The sequence below is a fragment of the Homo sapiens genome, chromosome 1, assembly GCF_000001405.40.
Source record: "Homo sapiens chromosome 1, GRCh38.p14 Primary Assembly".
Lineage (NCBI taxonomy): Eukaryota > Metazoa > Chordata > Mammalia > Primates > Hominidae > Homo > Homo sapiens.
The window spans coordinates 225,759,691-225,777,695 of NC_000001.11; the positions used below are offsets into that span (position 1 = coordinate 225,759,691).

Below are 18,005 nucleotides of genomic sequence, written 5' to 3' on the forward strand. Positions count from 1 at the left end.
AAGAACAAAATTTTTAATTACAAAATATTTCACATATGCAGAATAGTACAGAGAACAATAATATATAACACTCCATGCCTACCACCCAGATATTCCAATGTCATTCTTTTGATATATTTGCTTCAGATTCTTTTTTATATTTTTTTCCTAAAGGAACAACAAACATTACAGATACAATTGAGGCCATCTCCATTCCCTTCTCTCCTTCACTACAGATATGTACTATCCTTCTATTGCTCTGTGACCCTTCTAATTATTTTTGTACTCTTATGACATAGAGAGAGCCAAAATATTATGCTAGGTGTAAATTAGGTATGGGCTTGGTGCAGTGGCTCACGCCTATAATCCTAGCACTTTGGCAGGCCAAGGCAGGAAGATTGCTTGAGCCCAGGAGTTCGAGACAAGACTGGGCAACATGGCGAGACCCTGTCTCTATAAAAAAATTAAAAATTAGCCAGATGTGGGGGTATCCACCTGCGGTCCCAACTACTCTGGAGCCTGAGGTGGGAGGATGGCTTGAGCCCAGGAGGTCGAGGCTGCAGTGAGCTATGTTCACACCACTACACTCCAGCCTGGGCAACAGAGTGAGACCCTGTCTCAAAAAAAAAAAAAATATGTACATGATATATGTCCATATTCTTTTTAAATTTACTTTTCTTTTATTCAATATTCATATATTTTAGAAATTCATCCACAATTATATATGTGTATATATACAGGAATATGTGAAGTACATTCATTTTAACTTCTATATAGTATGCCATTACATTAATATGTCGTGAAATATTTCTCCATTTTTTCTAGTTTTAGCTTTTATAAACAATGTTGTAATGGACAGCCAAGTGTATATTCCAAGCATATGTGCACACTTGCCCAAGAGTTTCTGAGGGGTATAGAGTCCACATTTCTTCTCTTTCTTTTGAGCCAGGGTCTCACTCTGTCACCCAGCCTGGAGTACAGTGGCGCCATCATGGGTCACTACAGCCTCAACCCCCCAGCTCAAGTGATCCTCACGCCTCGGGCTCCCTAGCAGCTGGAACTACAGGCATGTGCCACCGCATTTCGCCTTGTTGCCCAGGCTGGTCTCAAACTCCTGAGCTCAAGTGACCTGCCTGCCTCGGCCTCCCAAAGTGCTAGGATTACAGGTGTGAGCTACCCCACCTGGCCTGGATATACACATTTCTAACAGATAATACCAAATTGGTTTCTAAGTGCATGAATTCTACTCTACATCTCCATGAATACTTATATTGCCAGATTTCTAATTTTTGCTAATCCAACAGGCATAAATTATTGTCTTGTCCTCTAATTTGCATTTTTTGATCACCACTGAGTGTGGACATTCTCATTTGGGTCCCTTCTTCTAGGAATGAAATTGCTTACTGTAATCTTTGTCCTTAGTTTCTATGAGGTTGAGGGTCTTTTTTCTTTTCTTTCTTTTTTTTTTCTTTTACTGAGTTATAGGAGTTCTTTATGTATTTTGGATAGGAATCTTTTGTCAGTTGCACATGTTCTAAATGTCTTCTCCCAGTCTATGGCTTGTCTTCTAACACAATTTACTGTGCCTTTAGGTTTTTTTTGTTTTCGTTTTTTTGAGACAGAGTCTTGCTCTGTTGCCCAGGCTGGAGTGCAGTGGTGCGATCTCAGCTCACTGCAATCCCTCCTGGGTTCAAGCAATTCTCCTGCCTCAGCCTCCCGAGTAGCTGGGACTACAGGTGCCCGCCGCCATGCCCAGCTAATTTTTGCATTTTTAGTAGAGACAGGGTTTCACCATGTTGGCCAGGCTGTTCTCGAACTCCTGACCTTGTGATCTGCCCATCTCAGCCTCCCAAAGTGCTGGGATTACAGGCATGAGTCACCACGCCAGGCCAAGTTTTTTTAATTATGAAAATGTTCAATTGCTCACAAAAGTTGAGAAAACAATATATTGAAACCACATTGTCTGTTACCGAGACTCAAAAAGTAACAAGATTTTGCTATACTTGCCTTATCGCTCTCTTTTTCTTTCTTACATTACTGCTAACATATTTTAAAGTAATCCCAGATTGCATGTCATTTCACTCCTACATACTTCATTAAGCATCTATACAACTAAGGACATTTTCTTATATAGTCACTATGTGCCAATCATGATGATTTCTATCAAAATTAACAACTATTCTTTCATATCACCTAATAGATGGTGATTTGGGATACCTGGAAGTTTTTAATGAGGCTGCAATTTTTCTGCTGCAAAACACAGATATTGCATTGCCTGGCCTGGGATTACAATTGCTGTCCTTCCTATGTGATGATGACCCATGGGTGATTCCACTACTGACTGATCAGCAGGTCCTTCTTCAGGAAGCAGGAAGGCTTTTCTGCACCTGGGAGACAGGCGACGCCTGCTTCAGTCTATACCACTGGCAGCTGCTTACAAAGCATATGACCACTTAAGTCATTGTCTCTGACACTTCTGTTGGAAAATAGCCATCCACCTCAGAGGAGGTGGTCTGTCGGCTGCCGATAGTTCCCAGGAACCACACTGGTGCTTCCCTCTGAGGTCTGGAAATTCACACATAAAAGTCTTCATAACCTTTAGGGAAGAGGCAGCCAGAGAAACTGGATTCAAGTCAGGATGGTTTGGGGGATGGGCTGAGGTTAATCCCTCTACCGTGTTCTCAGAATGAAGAAAACAGACATTTACTGAGAAAAAGAACAGCTCTGAATACAAATACTAGAATAGGGCTTTTCAAATGTGTGCCTTCTGTGGCTCCCTTTATCCAGAGAAAAAGAGTCCATGGATTTCTCCCCATACTGCTTAACGTGGCAAAAGACCCCGAATTGCTGGAATTAATGGGAAGACTAGAGCAGCTCTGGATAAGACACCAGTGAGGTAATGTCTGGTTTTTGTTAAATATCCCAAACAGATTACTCACTCTTGCTAGATAAAAGGTAAAGACACTGTCGTGCTATTAACACAAATCCTGCTGCAAACAGGGCCCCCACGGGTCCCTGGACTGGGAAGCTGCCATGCTGTTCAGTGGTGGGGGCGGGAGAGAGAGGCAGTCACAGTAAACATTGTCCAGAGAAGAAAACCAGTCAGCTCTGTGATCTTTGCAAACTCCTTTTTGTTAAGGAACCCAGAACACCAATGAGACCCTGGGAGGCTCATATTTGACAGAGCCAGAAAGAAGGTCCTTGGGAAAGATCCCTTCTCTCTGTCTTCAGTAGAACTTGGCAGAACTGGACAGCCAGGCCCAAAGGCTCCGCTGGCTCCTCTTACCCTCGGGGCCTTTGATTCTATACCTGGAGCAATTCCTTCCATTTACAGCACCTTTTTTTTTTTTTTTTTGAGACAAACTCTTACAAAGCCCAGGCTGGAATGCAATGGCATGATCTCAGCTCACTGCAACCTCTGACTCCCAAGTTCAAGTGATTCTCCTGCCTCAGCCTCCTGAGAAGCTGGGATTATAGGCCCGCACCACCAAGCCCGGCTAATTTTTGTATTTTTAGTAGAGATGGGGGTTTCACCATGTCGGCCAGGCTGGTCTTGAACTCCTAATCTCAGGTGATCCGCCCACCTCAGCCTCCCAAAGTGCTGGGATTACAGGCGTGAGCCCACCATGCTTGGCCTTTTTTTTTTTTTTTTTTTTTTTTTTTAATTATTTTTTGAGACATGGTCTCCCTCTGTGGCCCAGGCTGGAGTGCAGTGGCACGATCTTGGCTCACTGCAATCTCCACCTCCCAGGTTCAAGCGATTCTCCTGCCTCAGCCTCCTGAGTAGCTGGGATTACAGGCTTGTGCCACCACAGGCCAGCTAATTTTTGCAGTTTTAATAGAGATGGGGTTTAACCATATTGGCCAGACTGGTTTCAAACTGCTGACCTCAGGTGATCTGCCTGCCTCGGCCTCCCAAAGCTGGGATTACAGGCGTGAGCCACTGCCCCCGGCCCCATTTAAAGCACTTTACAAAGAATTTCCACATGCATTGTTTCAACTGCTCCTCATAAGAGCCTTGTAAGATGAGCTGAGAATATTGAGGCTCAGATTGGTTAAGTCGTCAAGCAGGGTCATGGCTGTTTTCCTCCATTTATTGAGAGTTGGATAAAAGTCTCCGAGGTAGTTCCCTTCTCAACCTTAGAGTCTAGGGTTGTCAGAGGCCTGGGAGAGGCTGAGAAGAGAGCCAGGGAATTGGCAGAGCTTCCGTTCTGCAAACAGACAAATGGAACACCAGGAAACTGGACCTTTTTCCCCAAGGATTCTTGCTTTTAGCCAAGTCATCCCACACACTCTCTGACTCTGTGGTAGGGTCCTTGAAATTTCATCTCACAATTTCCTGGCAGATATCAGGGCAGCGGATGGTAATCCCGTTATTGTTGGCCAGTCTCCCAAACAGGCCCAAATGCTGCCTGCTCGTCCTGTTGCAGACTTCCTCCTCCCCTCTACCATTGCCTGGCCAGCCGGCCTTTAATCTTGGTGGTGAGCTCTGCAACCTTGCCAAGAAGTCTCCCAGACAAGTGAAAGCTCCTTGTGATTGTGAGAAAACAGCAAGGCTGGCATCCCCATCACACCTGCCATCCCCCTCACTCACTTCCATTTATAAGCTTGCACTATATGCAGGACCTGCCTTTCAGAAGCCCTGAGACACAGTGAGGCTCACAGGAGCTGGGAACTCAGCTCCTTCAGACCTGGAAGGACCTGGGTCTGCGCTGGGAAATGTTTGTGCTCATCACGTCAGATGCATCATCCATGAACTTTTCCTCTGAAAAGCTCAGCACATCTCACTATGATTCTTGCTGCTCCCAGTTCCTCTTTCTAAAGGAAATCACCAGCCTCCTCTGGTACCTCAAAGCTTTAGTAATCAGGAACTAAATAACATGGAAAACATGGAGAATCGCATGGAGGCAAAACAGTACCACAGCTGTACCTACTATTTATAATGAAAGTCAGCCCAGAGTGCCTGCCTTTTTCATCATCTCTCAGTTATCCACATGCTCAACCTGGGGGACAGGAGGAACAGGGAGAAAATCATGATTATCCTGTGGTTCACTTTACAGTTTACAATGCATTTTTAAAATTTACATACACTTGGCCGGGCACGGTGGCTCACGCCTGTAGTCCCAGCATTTTAGGAGGCTGAGGCGGGTGGATCACTAGGTCAGGAGATCGAGACCATACCAGCTAACACGGTGAAACCCCATCTCTACTAAAAATACGAAAAAATTAGCCGGGCGTGGTGGCAGGTGCTTACAGTCCCAGCTACTCAGGAGGCTGAGGCAGGAGAATGGTGTGAACCCGGGAGGTGGAGCTCGCAGTGAGCCAAGATCACGCCACTGCACTCCAGCCTGGGCAACAGAGTGAGACTCCATCTCAAAAAAAAAAAAATTTACATACACTTAAAATATGTTATTTCTCTCAATTCTCAGAATAAAACCATATGGTACATAATAGATACAAATTTTGGTTTCTCTCTTTTTTCCCAATGAGGTTGGAAAGGAAGATATTACTATTTCTACCTTACCAAGGAGCAAATCAAGGTTGTAATTATTCAAAATCAAATAAATATATTGTAGTGGACTCTAAACTCAAATTCAGCTTTCCTGGTTATAAATGCCAGAATCCCAGATTCCTGGGATTTCTATACGACCCCTTCCTTCCTCTTAAGTCCTTTGCTCCCTGTGGAGCTGTAGCTTTGTTTTGTTTTATTTTATTTTAGAGACAGGGTCTCACTCTGTGAGACCAGTACACAGCATGATCCTGGCTCACTGCAGCCTCTACCTGCCAGGCTCAAGCAATTCTCCCACCTCAACCTCCCGAAGAACTGAGACCACAGGTGTGTGCCACCATGCCTGGCTAATTATTTTATTTTATTATTATTTTTGAGATGGAGTCATGCTCTGTTGCCCAGGCTGGAGTGCAGTGGCGCAATCTCGGCTCACTGCAGGCTCCGCCTCCCGGGTTCACGCCATTCTCCTGCCTCAGTCTCCCTAGTAGCTGGGACTACAGACGCCCGCCACCACGCCCGGCTAATTTTTTGTATTTTTAGTAGAGATGGGGTTTCACCGTGTTAGCCAGGATGGTCTTGATCTCCTGACCTCGTGGTCCGCCCACCTCAGCCTCCCAAAGTGCTGGGATTATAGGCATGAGCCACTGCGCCCAGCTTATTATTTTATTTTTTGTAGAGACAGGGTCTCGTTATGTTGCCCAGGCTGGTCTCGAACTCCTGGGCTCAAGCAATCCTCCCACATTAGCCTCTCAAAGTGTTAAGATTACAGGTGTGATCCACCACGCCAAGGCAATTTTACTTTATTGAGACAGTTCTCGCTATTGACCATGTTGGAGTCCAGTGGTACAATCACAGCTCATTGCAGCCTCTATTTCCTGGGCTTAAACGATCCTCCCACCTCAACCTCCCAAATAGCTAGGACTACAGGCAAATGCCACCATGTCAGGTTAATTTTTATTTTTTGTAAAGATGGGGTCTTGCTATGTTGCCCAGGCTGGTCTCAAACTCCTGGGCTCAAGCAGTCCTCCTGCTTCAGCCTCCTAAAGTGCTGGGATTATAGGCATGAGCCACTGTGCCTGGCCTATAGCTTTAAAAATTTCCCCAGTGTATACCATCCTCACTATTCCCAGGCACAGTTCTAAGTAATTGAAGTCTACTGAGGTAGGTATCAATATTATTCCCATTCTCTAGATGACGAAACTGGTGCATGTAGCAGTTAGGAAATATGCCCAAAGGTACACTGCTCGTAAGCGGCAGAGCAGGAATATGAATCCAGCCAGTCTGGTTCCGGAGTCTGCATTCTTGATCACTGCACTATACCAACTTTCACTTTGTTGTGAGCACCTGCCTATCTCAGACATCAGTCAGTAAGTCCCTTGAAGGCAAGAACTGTCCTTTGATCCTTATTCCTGAGCCCTAGGCATTACATTTGGCACAGAGTATATGCTCAATAACCATCTATTCATGCATCTGAACAAATGCATGGATAACTGGTCAGGAGGGGACGCCAGCAGAAAGGCCACCTGTTTAAACCTAAAATCGCAGAACTCAAACTGGTCCTCCATTCTTTCTTCTGCTTTTCTCTAAGATATTACATAGCCACAAAAGCAGATTCTTGATTCCAATCTAGTCCATCCTTTCATAGACTTTGAGTGATCAGCCCTCCCTAAGGCAGTGCCCCTCTCAAGGACCCAATGCAGAGCTGCTGGGGACCCCGCCCGAGGTCCATCTTTAGGCTCCCAGGGCTACACTTCTGTGTCAGGGTTTAGGTCAGCAGGATTCACACAGAAACTGGAAATCAGACCCATGGACGGCATCTACGGTGAAGTGGAATCAAACGGTAAGGGCTTCCCAGAACATCCGAGTGAATCAGCTGCTCAGGCTGGGACGAATCCAGAACACATGCCCACAAGGGGTGGCAAGTTGTAAATTGAGATCTAATATGAGCCATCTGGTCTGGCAAAATGGCCAACTGGAGAGATGGGAGCCTGGAAACTGCCCAGAAGCAAACTTATCTTGGGGAAATGATGAGTCAGCTCTGTCCAAAAACAAAAGCCTTTAATGAAGTCCTTCACAGTAAGCCCCACAGAATCTTTCTGGAGCAGCTAGAGTTAAGTAACTCCATCTAAAGGTTACCTCTGGTTTCAAAGTTTTCAGATGCCTGGTTCCAGGCTTGGGTGTAACAGAGCATGAACACAGGCGAGGTAAACCCACACTGCTTTGTGGGGGTGGGATGGGATTCAAGAATCATTTCACAGCCAGATAGATGTGTCAGGTAAGATGTGACGAGACATGCAGGACTAGCTGGGGTCCAGCATTTCCCCCTAGCATGGGGACAGTTTAGCCTTGGTCCTGGAGGACAGCTTTTCAGTGTCTTCTCCCAGCCACAGTCGCTAAAAAGCAACCAATTACCAGGTCTAATTATCTTCCTTCAGCCTCTTTACTGGCAGCAGCTGCCAAGGCTCTTGCCAAAACTCTGCTTCACCAACATCCTGATCCAAAAAGCCCCAAGTCAACGAGGAGAAGGCTCTGCGGGCCCAGAACAGCTGTGAGGCTTCCCAACACCAAGACGGGGCACAAGAGGTCAGCGCCGGGAGCTTCAAAGCAACTTGCCCCCTTGAGCCCCCTTGGCCTCAGCATCTGGATGGAGGAGAAGCAGTGGCGCCAGCCACCTGGAACCACACCAGAAAATGACACAACGGCAATCAACACACTGGCCCCAACCACCCCCGCCCCAGGAAGTTAGGAAGCTTTTTAAAGGCCTTGTTTGTGCTTGTGGTGGAAGCTCCAAGGTCAGGGCTGGCCTAGAGCTCAGTGTGTGCCTCACAGCTGAGCGTAGCTGGGAGGTATGTCAGGAATTCTCTAGGTCGGGGCTGGGGGTCTCTCAGGGCACCATGCCACTGCTGATCCCTACTTCCTTGCACTCCAAAGTAGCTTGCCTACTTCTGCCCACAGGTGAGCCTGAGACCTGATTAGCCTCTTCCTGCACGGAACAAGAGGTAGCTTCCTCCTGAAAGATGTCCTGAGTCGCAGAAGCATTCTCTGACTTGCACAAGAATGAGTCTCCAAAACCCCAGTCACCTGGGGGGCCTGGACTTGTCTGAGCAGGGAGTGGGGAAAACCAGGCGGCCATCCACTCGGCCTCCAACCTTGCAGCCCCAGGGGAAGAAGGGCCAGGTGCAGTTTGCTGGGCAGTTATGAAACTTGAGAAGCTGGAGTGACTTTGGGCTGGTGCTTTGAGAACAGGGAGGTATTGTGTGATGAGGCGCAGAGCGGGTATAGAATACCCAACAGTTCATGCACAAACACGATCCCAGCCTTGTGCAGAGAAAGGGGCTTCCAGGGGCCTGGGTGGTTTCAAACTGGAATGTGAGGAGAAAGGTAGTGCCCATGAGGCTGTTGGTGACCCATACCCAGGAGGAGGCCCAGAAGCCAAGCCAGCCCTCACCCCTACGCACAGACAGTTCCACAGATCTCAACACGTATGCCCTGAGACATCATCTCTGGGGATACAGAAATTCTATCCGTCAGCAATTAAAGAATATTTTCTTAAAACTTGGGTGGGTATCTTCCCCATGTGTTGTCATCTTGGTCATCAGTAAATACCCACTGAGCAGGACTATCTGCATGGTCCTGTCAGAGGTATTATGGTCACAAAGGCCAGTGCCTGCCCTCCCGGGCCCTGCGTCCTGACGACAGGGCACCAATCGTAAGAGGCAGCAAAATAGCTGGAGATTGAGCAACCAGACACACCAGCCTTGCAACTGGTCAAACAAGAGATGCAGTGCACCTCATCTGTGCACTACAAACAAAAGCTTTACATGTTTTACAATTTTTCTCTCTCACAGTGGCTGGAAAGCTGGATGAGGTGAGAAGAGAATAAGAGCAAAGCAGAGAAATTGGGTAGAGAAAGTGATAATGGAGTGATAAGCCAGGGGAGCTGGGAACAGTGGCTCTCAGGTCTGAGTCGAGAAGGATCCAGGACAGACACCTAATTGGTTATGATTTCACCCCCCCTCTCTGGGCTTATCTTCTCCATCTGTCCTCCCACAGTTCCCAGCTCAGGGCGCTGAGCTCTGATAGTTCTCAAACCCTTTTCTCCCTTTACTTACTGCGAGAAAGCTGTGGTTATCAGCATGCTGGCTCTTGCAGCCCCAGGTGCCACACTAAGCTCCTAGGCCAGTCCCTAACCCTGTTGCCTCTAAAAAAAATTAAGTCGAGACAGGGAGGTGGGAGGACCTTCCACACCATGTTCCAGTCCTCACTGCCCACTCCAGTGCCTTCTTTCTCAAACGGTCATCTCAGACATCTCTGCCATATTCCCACCCCCAACTTCCCCCTGGAGAAGGGCTGCATCTGCTTCCTAAAAGCTTGTCTTCTGGGCCTTTTCTCATGCCCACCTTGTATCTGAAAGCCTGACCATTCCATCAGTCATCATCTGACCTTTATTTCCCAAATCCAGCTCCTCTCTGCAGCTTTCCCTAATTGCCACCCCCAATTAACCAGTCCCAATGAACCTGAGCAGAGGCTCAGCAGAATTTTGGGACTCGATCGTAAACACAGCTTATTATAGCTAGTGGTATATGCAGACATTACCTTATTCATGTTGTGTCCTCCCCACAACCTCCACAAAACCCAAGTGAGCCTTTGCGCCATGTTGGACTGCATGACTGATGACATGACAGCTGTGATCAATCAAGATTCCGCAATCACCATTCTGCAGGCCACTGGGAGCTTTTCTACACCAAAGCCCTCTGCTGAGTGGAGATGTCATCTGATTTATTAATTAATGCAAACACTGTTCATCCAAATGCTCCAGGGCATGGTTTAAAAAAAAAACAGAACGTTTAAAAAATGATAAAAATAACTTTTGCCAGCATAGAAATAGCTGAAGTTTTCTTGTTGTTGTTGTTTTTGTTTTGAGACAGAGTTTCGCTCTTGTTGCCCAGGTTGGAGTGCAATGGCACAATCTCAGCTCACTGCAACCTCCACCTCCCAGGTTCAAGCAATTCTCCTGCCTCAGCCTCCCGAGTAGCTGGGATTACAGGTGCGTGCCACTACACCCGGCTAATTTTTTGTATTTTTAGTAGAGATGGGGGTTTCTTCATGTTGGTCAGGCTGGTCTTGAACTCCTGACCTCAGGTAATCTGCCCGCTTCGGCCTCCCGAAGTGCTGGGAATACAGGCGTGAGCCACCACGCCAGCCTAGCTGAAGTTTTATTCCTGGCCCTTTCATCCCAGCAGCAATTCTTCCCTCCCCAGCCCCATCACACCCCTCTTCCCCCTGCAGCACCCCCACCCAGGTCGCTGTCCCCCTTTCCCACCTTCCCTACCGTGCTTCTTTGTCAATTAACAGAATTCCTGCCGCTGTTTGCTAATTGGGTTAATGGAGTGACTGCATAATTGTTCTCTCTCTCTTCACAGCCCAACTCACTATACTGGCTGCTTTCCGACAACCTACCTCTCAGCTGTTCCAGGATCACTAATTTGCAACAACAGCTTCCATTGTCGTCCACATCTGGGACTTCGGGATTTTAAGTGAATCTCTCTAAGGCGGAGAACAGAAGATGCTGCTATTTTGGTTTGTCTGGTCTACAATGGGGCCATTCTGCGGAGTTTCTGTTCAGTGCGGGGCTGCCCGGGTGAAGGGGAAATTGGAGCGGTGATGGGATTCAGCCAGAGAGCTGCATGCTGAGGACTAGGGAGGGAGGGGAGGAGGGGAAGGGGATGGGAGGAGGTGGGAGGTGGGGGCAAAATCTTGACCTTTTCTTCCCAGCCATATGGGTTTGCATTTCATTTTAATCAGTTTCAGATGAAACTGACAAGCCAGGAACCTCAGGAATCTCAGTGCCCCCACCTTTGGCCTCTGGTCTCTAGAACAGCCAGCAGCTGAGGTTGGACAGGGTGTGACCTGGCCTGACCCAGCTTCCCCCAGAGGAGGCAGCATTGAGGGTGGCCTTTGCGATACCCAAGGTTCCATCTGAGCCTGTTTTCTCTCAACGTCCTTGGGAAAAAAAACCAAGATTTTTTTTCCTCTGTTGTTTTTTGAAGGTGTTTGTTCGGCTTGAAATCTGTTTCACCTAAAAGGGATCATTACCTACCCAAAGTATAGAAATGATCACATTCTTGGAGTGGGGTGCAACTGGGGCAGTGACAGAAGCCTCCAGGAACTCTGAGATGTCCCTGGGGGATGCCTTAGTAGGTAGGGGTGGCATGAGGGTGCTAGTACAGTCTTTGGTCTAGAGGTCCCTTGAGCCCCCTTGGAGGGGCTATATTTCTTAGGTTGACTTCTTTTTTTTTTTTTTTCCTAGATGGAGTCTTGCTGTGTCACCCAGGCTGGAATACAGTGGTGTGATCACAGCTCACTGCAACCTCTGCCCCCCAAGTTCAAGCAATTTTCGTGCCTCAGCCTCCCAAGAGTAGCTGGGATTACAGGTGCACGCCACCACACCTGGCTAAGTTTTGTATTTTTAGTAGAGACGGGGTTTCACCATGTTTGTCAGGCTGGTCTTGAACTCCTGGCCTCAAGTGATCCACCCACCTAGGCCTCCCAAGTGCTGGGATTACAGGTGTGAGCCACCATGCCCAACCTTCTTAGGTTGACTTCTATCCCTGCCTTCTTTGCCCTTCCCTCCCCACTGTTCTCAGCCCCGGCCCCCACCCCAGCTGCAATCCTTGCTCCAGGGCTTCTGATCGGAATCCCCTAGGGAGTGCTGAATGTGGGTCCCTAGGGGTCAGCTCTGGGCTGCTCCCACACATACACAAGGAAGAACATTTTTCGGCATTTCATACAGTGACACTTTATATTGTTCTATCTTGTAATTGGTTTACTTCCTGATTTCCCCAAACAGCTATGAGGGTAGGAAATGGTCAGGCCTCTCTGAAACCCCAGTGTACTGTGCCCTGTTATGGTAGGTGCTTCATCCATGCTTATTTCTGCCTTCAGTTTTGATTATTTGTAAACTTGCCTAATCCCTGCACCCTCCCCTGCTTTCATTACTTGTAAGCTTCTTGTGCATATCTTTGTAGTCATTGTAGCACCCCTGGTAGGGTGACAGGCCCGGATTAGGTGCTCAGTAAGGAATTAATAAATTAAACTGGATTGGAGATTCCTGGTAATCAAATGAGAGCCCTTGTGAAAGGAAGTGTTGAGATTGAGCAAAAGGTAAACAAGTCCACCAACATGATTTCAGCTAAGCTGGGTGTATGTACTGATGTACTGAATGGGCGACCATTTCCTTCCAGAAAGGCTGGAGTCAGCCCTCCGGGATGGCTGTCTCTGTGTGACTGTCTGCACACCACTGCCCTCCACTGGACACTGAATCAAAGCTGCCCCAGACCCACGTTGGTGTCAGGACTCCCTCAGGTTTCCTTCCCTCCCTATCTGGGACACAACCTCCTGGGCAAACCGGTTTCTTGGTTGGCTTCTCTTACCAGGTTTGTTTTACCCTGTCTGCCTTGCATTGAATCCATGAAACTTGGGAAGTACAAGAGGAACAATGTCTTCTTTCACTCCTGGCATATAGCGGGGTCAATAAATATTTAATAAGTGAAAATAAACATGACACACATTCCTGGCAAGCCAGCAGCACTTCGGACTAGTACTATGATTATTAATATAAGAATCCATTTAAGGACCTATATATGTTCTTAGTCTAAAGCAGCTACAGTGCTGATTGTTTTTAGAAGACAACTGAGGAAAACAAAGAGGCACCAAAACTTAAGCAAAAGAAAGAGTTCAAAAACAGTCACTCCTCTTTATCTTAACAACCACCAAACTTTCCTCCTCTTGCATGCCTCCGCAGACCTTTGGGAAGATACAGAACAGGATGTAAAGGGAGGGGAAGTGAACACAGGTACTGCCAAGCCTCAGGGATTAGACTGCTCCCTCCCTCGCTTTGACGCGCTCTCCAGCTTCAGCTATTGGCATTTGTGAACTTGCCTTATTATCTCTGCCCCTGACCTCACTAGCTTGTAAATTGCCTTGCCCAGCACAATGACTGGCCTATAAAAGGTCTGCCATACACAGTTAACTGAATTCTGGTGGTTGAATATGCATGTTACTAATAATTTGCCAACAGTAATAATAAAATAGGTTGTTTTTTTTTAAAGAGACATCACATTTACAGCTTAGAAATTTTGATTTGGTGAGAAATTGTTTTCACCTTCCACAATTCAACTCTGGGGTTAGCTGTGGACCTGGTAGGCAGTGGGATATATGAATCTGAAGCTCAGGGAAGAAGCCTGGACGAAGTAGGAATCCAGGAGCCTCATAGCATGGAGGTTGGGGTTAAAACTCAAAGGGTATTGTCCAGGAAGAACTAGAGAAGGTGAAAACCAGAGGCTGGTGTCTTGGGATCCCAATCCTGAAGAACCAGGGGAGGCAGAGGAGGTCAGGACAGAGCCAGAGCAGAAGTCAGAGAGGAGCGAGAAAGAATGGGGCCAAAAAAGCCAGGGGTCTGGGAAGTTTTCGGGATTAGAGGGTGGCCAGTGGCCTCAAATACAGCTGAATAATCTAGTCACAAAGGATTGAGAGATGTCTGCTGGAGTGGGTAATATAATAGTCAGCTGGTGAACCCATGAAAGCAACTTTGGGGTGAGAGGGTAGATACAGTGGAAATGGGATGGGAAATGGGATCAGAAATGGGATCAGGAATGGGAGGCAAAGACATGAACACAATCGCGGGAGGTGGTGAACATAAGGAAAAGTGCAAGGGCTTTTGGTTTTGACCCTGCACCCAGGCTCTGCTTTACCGATCTAGCTTCTGTATTTCTACTAGTTACACTTTCTAAAAATCAAAATTAATCCTGTCACTTCCGGTTATGATTAACATCCACTGGCTTTTGCCATTTGCTGGACAATCCGGAGCAAAGTCTGGGGCCAATCTGTTTAGTGTCACTTATTTTTCAGGTTTGGTTTCTTCATCACCTGTAAAGGAGAGTGGCACAGGACTATAATCCCTTGTCCGAAATCCTTGAGGCCACCCGTATTTCAGAATTCACAGCCTTTTGGATCCTAGAAAGGTGATACAGTGCACATGTGGTATATTACATAATACCACCAGCAGGGTCTGTGCCCCACCCTGGAACCAAACACACCAAGTGAAACAAATAAAGACTAAGCAACCTTACTTGAGGTCAGGTCATTTTCTACTAATGGAGTTACCAAGATACTTTTGTTTTCCAGAGCTTTTCAGATTTTTGGAATTGTAATAAGGCTCACTGACCACCCTGGCAGAGTTGTTTGAAAGCTCAAATAAGATATGTGTGTGAAAATGAAGCAGAAAGGATAACCACAAAGGGTACAGAGGCCCTGATCTTCTTGACTGGGAATGAAAGGAATTTTTCCTTTTCTGACATTGTGCATGTGTGAGCAATTTATAAAGGACACTCTCTGATAGCCTTTCAGAAGCCACAGCAGGAAAGGAATAACCTAGTTTAAAGGATGCATCCAGCAGCCATAAAAAAAAAAAAAGAATGAAATCATGTCCTTTGTAGCAACATGGATAGAGCTGAAGGCCATTATCCTGTCAACGAACGTAGAAACAGAAAACCAGATACAGCATGCTCTCACTTATAAGTGGGAGCTAAACAATGGGCACTCATGTGGCTTGGCTCTGTGTCCCCACCCAAATCTCATGTTGAACTCTAATTCCCAGTGTTGGGGGAGGGACCTGGTGGGAGGTGATTGGATCATGGGGGTGGATTTCCCCCTTGCTGTTCTTGTGATAGTGAGTGAGTTCTCACAAGATCTAGTTGTTTAAAATTGTGTAGCACTTCCCCCTTCTCTCTCTCTCTCTCCTGCTGCCACGTGAAGAAGTGCTGGCTTCCAAGCACTTGATTTGGCCCTTCTGCCAGGATTGTTAAGTTTCCTGAGGCCTCCCCAGTCATGCCTCCTGTACAGCCTGCAGAACTGTGAGTTCAATTAAACCTCTTTTCTTCATAAATTACCCAGTCTCAGGTAGTTCTTTATAACAGTATGAGAATGGACGAATACGGGTACACATCAACATAAAGATGGAAATAATGGACACTGGTGACTCCAAAAGGGGGAGGGTGGGAAGATGGAAAGGGTTAAAAAGGTACCAATTGGGTACAATGCTCACTATTTGGGTGATGGGTACACTAGAAACCTAATGCCCACCAGTATGCAATATACCCATGTAACAAACATGCACATGTACCCCCGAACCTAAAATTAAATTTTTAAAAAAAGAATGCATCCTAGTGTGACTGGGGACATTTGCATAATCAAGGGCAATTCCCATAACTTCTTCCTTATCTTGATTTCTCTGCCTCTGTAGGGGCTGAGGCTGGGCTAAGCTTGGAGATGCTGGAACTCACAGTGATGGGGACCCTCACAATGGAGATCTGTTCTTTACTGTCATTCTCTCCATAACTGTGAGCTCTATGAGGCAGGGACTGGGCCTGTCTTGTTCACTGCTGGGTCTCTAATGCCTAGCCCAGCTCCTGGTGTTTGTCCAGGGTGGACACTTGTTTTACTTTTTGCTGAATTGAATTGAAACTGATCTCTTATGTTCCTTGTGACAGAAGGCAAAGTTGGCATTGTCTTAACTTCCATTGTTTTCATCTTCAGGGAAAAACCCCTACACCTGGGGGTCATTCTGCCCAACTCTGCCCTCTCTGCCTCTGCTCATTGCTCTTTATAGCTTCCCTCAACACACACACACACACACACACACACACACACGTGTCTCATTAAATGAGGATTTGGGTCCCTGGCTCATAGCCTTCTCCTTCATCTTATTCCTTTTCTTACTCATAGAAGACTTTGACTTTGTGTGGACAACCCAACTATAAATCCAGCCTCACCAGGGACTATTGCTACTCTAAAATGTTAAACCCCAATATCCAATCTGACTAAAACTTATTTCCTGCTATATTGAATTCAGATTTCCTTTAATCCTGGTTCCTTAACTTCTCTCTTTTGACTCAATTAATTACCAGCTATCTAGCATGGATCCCATAATTTATCATTTCAATCATTCTCTTGCCAGTACCACCTACAACATTCTTGACCCTTTGTTCTTCTTCCTCATGTACCCTATAAATCCCTAATATCTGTCTTTTCCAGTCCAAAATCCAAGCTTCTGGGTGTTGCTGGAGACAGACCCTAATTGGGGCTATTCCCAGATATGATCTCCAGTTTCAGCTTTTTACTCTACTTGACATATTGCTTTTGAGTTTCTTTTTTTGTTGTTGTTGTTGTTGTTGTTTTAGAGACAGAGTCTTGCTCTGTTGCCCAGGCTGGAGTGCAGTGATATGCGATCTTGGCTCACTACATCCTCCATCTCCTGGGTTCAAGAGATTCTCCTACCTCAGCCTCCCGAGTAGAGTAGCTGGGATTACAGGCACCCACGACCAAGCCCAACTAATTTTTTTATTTTTAGTAGAGATGGGGTTTCACGATGTTGACCAGGGTGGTCTTGAACTCCTGACTTCAAGTGATCTGCCCACCTCAGCCTCCCAGAGTGCTGGGATTGCAGGTGTGCACCACCGCTTCCCACCTGTTTTTTTCTAATAGGCTTCCTTATTCATTTCTCACAATGGCTTTTCCAAACCTTCTCCTCAAGGATCCAAACCCATCCTTGCTTCCTCAAAGATCCAAAACCACCCTTCCTATTTACGAAGGTGGTCTCCTGTCTTAGGTGACAAGAAAATGTACCTTCTTGCCCTCGTATCTACATGCTCACCTATACCCTCACCCGACTTTTCCCTCCTCCTCACCCCATCAAAGGCAATAATGCACCTGTTTTTATTCATCTGGGCCTTTGGTCTTCCCCTTCATATTTCCCGAGACCTCGCTTTCTTCTTTCTCTTGTATTTTTTATTTTTCTATCTCTTATGTGTCCTTCTCTAAAAGTTATAAACATGCACAAAATCTTTCCATCTCAAAATATAATACCCTTTACCTGGTGTCCCCTGCAGGCCATCTTCTTTATTTATTTACTTTTGCGCCAGCGTCTTCCTCTGAAGCCCAGGCTGGGTGCGTAGCGCGATCATGGCTCACTGCAGCCTCGGACTCCCGGGCTCAAGCGATCCTCCTGCTTGGAGGATCAGATTTTTTATCCTTGCAGAAGTGATAATATGGCTTCTTCCTCATCTCCTAAACACCAGTCATCTGACATACACTGCAGATCTAAAATGGGCCTACGTGTTCTGCCCTTCCTTGCCTACCTGTTGAGCTTGCACCGCTTCTGTGAGTCTCCCCCCACCCACAAGAGATCCTTCTTCCTTCGCGCTCCACTAACCCGACATAAATGTTTATCATATAAAGTTTTCCGTTGCACTCTTGTGTTTATGTCTCCTGGCTTCTTCACCAAGCTGTGTGACAGCTGGGCCCTGTCGCCTCCTTCCTCGTATATGCAGCGACTATCGCAGAGCCGCTTAATCTTTGTTGAAGGCAGCTGCGGTTCAGCCCTGAGGGCCACGGGACGGACGCCACTCATTCAGCCCTACCGGGGGCGCTGTGGCAGCCGGCATTGGTTGCCGTGCCC

At 46.8% G+C, this 18,005-nt stretch overlaps 1 long non-coding RNA gene across 1 annotated transcript, besides 5 other annotated features; it reads right to left on the minus strand.

Annotated features, from left to right (window-relative positions):
• Positions 1 to 3,613: 3,613 nt before the first annotated feature.
• LOC124904527 (uncharacterized) lies at positions 3,614 to 5,058 on the minus strand. Its single transcript, XR_007066905.1, has 2 exons — positions 4,914 to 5,058; positions 3,614 to 4,190 (listed from the first exon to the last, which is right to left on the minus strand). It is a non-coding gene; the product is annotated as an uncharacterized LOC124904527 (long non-coding RNA).
• Positions 6,998 to 8,493: an enhancer, noted in NCBI's record as "VISTA enhancer hs2374". NCBI's record gives its function as "enhancer in: branchial arch[4/5]" and the evidence as "EXISTENCE:transgenic organism evidence [ECO:0001131][PMID:17130149]".
• Positions 8,617 to 8,788: a silencer, noted in NCBI's record as "fragment chr1:225956009-225956180 (GRCh37/hg19 assembly coordinates)". NCBI's record gives its function as "represses an EF-1alpha promoter that drives an FKBP-Casp9 reporter gene in an ReSE screen in HepG2 liver carcinoma cells {active_cell/tissue: HepG2}" and the evidence as "EXISTENCE:reporter gene assay evidence [ECO:0000049][PMID:32094911]".
• Positions 9,406 to 9,575: an enhancer, noted in NCBI's record as "experimental_5770 CRE fragment used in MPRA reporter constructs". NCBI's record gives its function as "activates a minimal promoter by MPRAs in K562 erythroleukemia cells, with activity observed for both the introgressed and non-introgressed 1:225956883 variant alleles {active_cell/tissue: K562}" and the evidence as "EXISTENCE:reporter gene assay evidence [ECO:0000049][PMID:34662402]".
• Positions 17,129 to 17,889: an enhancer, noted in NCBI's record as "H3K27ac hESC enhancer chr1:225964521-225965281 (GRCh37/hg19 assembly coordinates)". NCBI's record gives its function as "activates a minimal SCP1, AML or CMV promoter by ChIP-STARR-seq in primed H9 embryonic stem cells {active_cell/tissue: H9 hESC(primed)}" and the evidence as "EXISTENCE:reporter gene assay evidence [ECO:0000049][PMID:30033119]".
• Positions 17,636 to 17,855: an enhancer, noted in NCBI's record as "active region_2628". NCBI's record gives its function as "activates an Ori minimal core promoter by ATAC-STARR-seq in GM12878 lymphoblastoid cells {active_cell/tissue: GM12878}" and the evidence as "EXISTENCE:reporter gene assay evidence [ECO:0000049][PMID:35858748]".